The sequence below is a fragment of the Homo sapiens genome, chromosome 14 (genome assembly GCF_000001405.40).
Source record: "Homo sapiens chromosome 14, GRCh38.p14 Primary Assembly".
Taxonomy (NCBI): Eukaryota; Metazoa; Chordata; class Mammalia; order Primates; family Hominidae; genus Homo; species Homo sapiens.
In genome coordinates this window covers 68,737,347-68,742,181 of record NC_000014.9, presented here as the reverse complement: position 1 = coordinate 68,742,181, position 4,835 = coordinate 68,737,347, and the positions used below count along the sequence as shown (strand labels likewise).

General features: G+C 48.9%; 1 annotated feature.

Annotated features, from left to right (window-relative positions):
- Window positions 350-399: an enhancer, noted in NCBI's record as "active region_8613". NCBI's record gives its function as "activates an Ori minimal core promoter by ATAC-STARR-seq in GM12878 lymphoblastoid cells {active_cell/tissue: GM12878}" and the evidence as "EXISTENCE:reporter gene assay evidence [ECO:0000049][PMID:35858748]".

Here is a 4,835-nt window from a genome sequence, read left to right as displayed (position 1 = left end):
TCCCCAACCCTGGTCTTTAACTTGTCACCTTCTCCCAGACATAAACAGCCACCCTCAGGCCTACAGCCATTCCCCTTTTTGTTGAAAGAGGAAGCAGTCACAGAAGGCACCCTTCACCCACTCTCTGTGGTCTCAAGAAGAGGAACCTGGATCTGATTTGGATTTTTTTGAAGAAATCTTGCTTTGATGTGGTCTAATCCAACTTCTTCATTTGCTGGTCTGAGTGGGACAGTGGGTGCTGTACCTCTGTGGGGACCGACCAAGGGGATTCTCTCAGCCAGGGATCCCCCCAAGGGCGGAGTTTCCCAGCCCCGGTACCCATGACTCCTCGGGTACCTCCAATGATCTCCAGGCTATTGGAACCTTCTCTAGACAAAATTTAAATATTGAAATAAATATTCTATGAAAATAAACCTGTGGGAAAAAATAAGCCTATGCCAATCAGTTTTTTTTTTTTTTTTTTGGAAAGGGGAGGATAAAAGAGAGTTATAACCTTTTAAAAAGATATCAGTATTCTAAAAGCATAGGCAATCAGGCAGTGTGTGGGGGAAGTCCTGGATTTTACTTTTTGACTCCCTTATTCCCTCACTATATGACTCTGGTCATGAATAGATTTTGTTAATTATAAAGCATGACAGCAAGAGGGTCAATGCTGCATGATCATCACCCTATAGCAGAAATTCCTACCATGTTACTTGCTTTGATCTGCTTTCCTGAATGAGCGGGGATCTGACATACATTATCAGGGCTACTCATATCCATACTTCCCCTCTCTAGGCCTCAATTTCCATAGTAGTCAGGCTAAGCCAGGCCATGCTGCAGTGACAAATAAGACCCCAGTTTTCAGTGTCTTCACACAGTGAAGCTTTGTATTTCCTGCTTTGATGAGGATGGACAGATCCTCTTCCATCTTGTAGGTATGCCATCTAGGGTACATGGACTGTCTGGTCACAGTGGCAGGGGATAAGAGGGATGGGGGAGGCACATACTGTCTTCAGTGTTTGGGCCCGGAAGTGACATGTATCATTGGCTAGAATTAATCACCTAACTGCAAGGAAGGCTGGGAAATTCAGGGAAGCACATGGATATTCAGTGGGCACAAATGGACTCTGCAACAGTTTCCACATCTCTCGAATGCGAGGGTTGGACTAGATGACCTTGGAACAGGCACCCCTACCCCCCAGCTCTGGCTTTCTAAGATTGTCTGAGCCAGAGACCCAGAAGTTGATGACTCACAGCAGTGATAGTGCCCTGGATTACTGCACACTGCTTCCACAGGAAAAGCTGCACCCCTCACCCCAAATATCAATTTTACTTTCTTCATTCTTTCCCAGACCATCTCTGAGCTATTTGTTCTGTATTGCCCTTAATCAGCTCCCAACTCCCAGATACTTCCAAGGTAAAATGGCCTCCAGCGACCCTAGATCAATGTAAATGTTTGCTCTCTGAAAGAGATGGGGCTTGCCTTGAAGGGGACACTAATGAAAAGCTGAAAGCTGGTAGGCTGGGACCACCTGGAACCACTTAGCCCTGGAATCCCACCTCCCTTCTACCATCTCTAGAGGAACTCAGGAATAATTCTAACGTCTACCTCCACTTGCTTTCTCCTGTTTTCCTCTCGATGTGTATACTTCCTACTTCTTTCCCAGTTTGGTGAGATCCACATTGATCACTGGAAATATTTCTGTCGAGACGATTAAAGATGCACATTTGAGGCCAGGCGTGGTGGCTCACGCCTGTAATCCCACTTTGGGAGGCTGAGGTGGGCGAATCACCTGAGGTCAGGAGTTCGAGACCAGCCTGACCAGCATAGAGAAACCTCTTCTCTACTAAAAATACAAAATTAGCTGGGCATGGTGGTGCATGCCTGTAATCCCAGCTACTTGGGAGGCTGAGGCAGGAGAATCACTTGAACATGGGAGGCAGAGGTTGCTGTGAGCCAAGATCGCGCCATTGCACTCCAGCCTGGGCAACAAGAGCGAAACTCAGAAAAAAAAAAAAAAAAGACGCATATTAGAAAGGCAGTGACTGAATTGTTGGATCAGGAATATGCTATAGATACAGTATTTCTTAATATCAGCATGGGCATTTGACAAGCTCTCATGTGATCGCAGGAGGAGGGATTGAAGGCGCTCAGCTAACCTGTGTGATGGCGTCATGTCACACATTGCTGGTCTGACATCCTGCATGCTCCAGTTGTGATAATAGGGGTTCTGCCTTTTTTAGGAGACCTAGTATCCACTTTGAGCCTTCATTCTGTTAGACAATCCTTATCATGGTAGCCTGGCCTATACCACAGCCTCTCTACAGGAATGTCAGAAGCCTCGCAGCACTGCTTATTCTTGATGACTTATCGCCATTGAGTAGCCTGTCAGGTGGGGCCTATACCCTGAATCAAAGGGACTCCCAAGTCATTCGGCATCTGGGTGTAGGCTTCCAGTGCTGCTGTGGCTGTTATAGAATTGTTAGACATTCCTTCGATCCAGTGGTGGGACCTATGCTCCTCCTCTTGAATCAGGACAGTCTTGTGACTGCTTTGATCAGTAGGGTATGGAGAAAGTAATGTTTTTTGACTTCTGAGGCTTGGCCATAAAAGACCCCACGGCTTCTGTCTGGTTCTCCTGGAACACTCACTCTTGTGACCCAGCTGCCATGTTATGAGAAACCCAAGCCATATGGAGAGGACACATGTCATTCGACACGTGACAGTCCCCACTCAGCTCAGTCTTTGAGTCCTTCCAGTGTAGATGCCAGACATGGAATGAAGAAGCCTCTAGATAATTCCAGCCCCTACCCATTCAGTTCATTCCCCCACCCCTGGTGTCTGCTTTTCCCAGCAGAAGTCCTAAACATGGACCAGAGAAGAGGCATCCCAGCTGTGCTCTGTCCAGATTCCTGACTCAGGAATCTGTGAGCAGAAGAAAATGGTTGGCAGTTTTTCATCAGCATGTTTGAAGTCATTTGTTCCATAGTAATCAATAATTAGAAAACCACCTAATCCTTCTGTCATTAGCATGTAGATGTTGACCAGGAGAGAAGTCTCTAGTAGTGGGCTGCAGGCTCATTCCTATCCAACCTCTTTAATGACAATTTATAGGGAGCAACAAAAGCACCAAGAAAGGCAACAGGATTATTGGGAAAGTGTGGGTGTCATAAATTGAGATAAATAGGCATGACACTGGGGGATGGACAGGAAGCCTGAAAGATCTCAACCAGTTCAGAGGAACCTAATCCTTGCACTTAGCCTTTGAAATTCACATGGAAACGTGCTAGGTGAAGTAGGGGTTCTCTGGAGAAAGGAGGGGTTGATCCCCAGGCAAGAGGGCACAGGGTGGTTGAGATGGAGCTTGGAGGCACTGAAGGTAGGGCACAGAGGGATTGGAGGCGCTGAAGGCAGGGCACAGAGGGATTGGAAGCACTGAAGGTAGGGCACAGAGGGATTGGAGGCGCTGAAGGTAGGGTACAGAGGGATTGGAGGCACTGAAGGTGGGGCACAGAGGGAGAAGCAGGGTGACTTGAGATGGGCTGGTCAGTGGACAGGAACCTGTCAAACAGGGTCTCAAGGGCCAGGCTAGGAAAGCTGGTAAAAGGTGCTGGGACCCTCGGTCCATTTACCCTGCATCCTATCCCTCCAGAGCTCAGGAGCCGAATGGATCTGGCTCTTTAGCACCTTGGTTCATGAATTCTTTTGGAAGATCCTAAAATGAGACAGAACTAGTTAAGTCAAGACAGCTTTGAAACATACAACCCAAGAACACCAGGACCAGAGTGGCTGAGTTTCCCAGAAGTTCATTCTGTTGAGGTTCCAACGGGGCCTTCCCCACCATCCAGTCCACCTACAGTGCTGGGCATGCAGCATGCCAGGTGGCCCCACAGAAAGACCTTGCACTGGGGGTCCTCCTGCCTGCTTGTGAACAGTGACCCTAGCAGTGCTCATGGTTAATATTGTTGTATGTCCCCATAACAATAAATTCCTGAAAAGGCTGGGGTGGGAAGATCCCAGATGGATGTGACTTCCTGGGGCTACCACGTCTGAGCCTGGTGGGATATGAGCACTGTGGACACCTCTTTTTATGCAGGGTCTGGCCTGGAGTGCAGGGTCTGTGAAGCGAGAGGACCCTGCCAGGACCCGGCCTCTGAGTGGCTCAGTGGGAGGAGGGGCGCCCTGGGTGCTGGGGGTGCCTGGTGCAGGCCCCCACTTGGCCTTCTCAGTCCCTCTCAGAGTTTGCCAGAAAGTGACACCATAGTAGACTCAATCCTTCTTCAGACCTCAATCCTGGGGCTGCAGAAATAGCTAGAGATTGGCTGGGTAAGAAGGCGGTGGCTTATATGGAAAAAGAGGCCCCTTGGCAGCTGCCCCCTGTGTTTGTGGGACTGTGTCCTGCCTCCGTCCCTAATAAGTATGATCTGCATAAGCACTTTCACCTCTTGGAGTCTCAGTTTCCTTGTCTACAAAATGGGAATAGTACCTATTTCAGGAGATGACTGTGAGGATTGGATGAAGGTGATTTTATTAAAAGGGTATCTGGCATAAGCGGTTGCTGAGTGGCCACAGTCGTTTCTCTTCTACCTGTCCTGTGGACTCCAGCACCTGGGTGTTCATGACACGCATGCGCCCTCCCCTCTGGGCAGGGGAGCCGTGCACAGAGGCTTAAAGAGCCTCCCAGGGTGGCAGTCAGAGGTGAGAGAGGGCATCAGGCCCCAGTGGAGCTGGAAGGCTCAGCCTCTGTCTGGTAATCTCCCTCCTAAATTTCAGGGGACAGAAAAGGTCCTCCTGCTCTTTGCTTGGTGTCTCCCAAATCACCTTTCCTTCCTGACGCTGGAAAAACAAATTC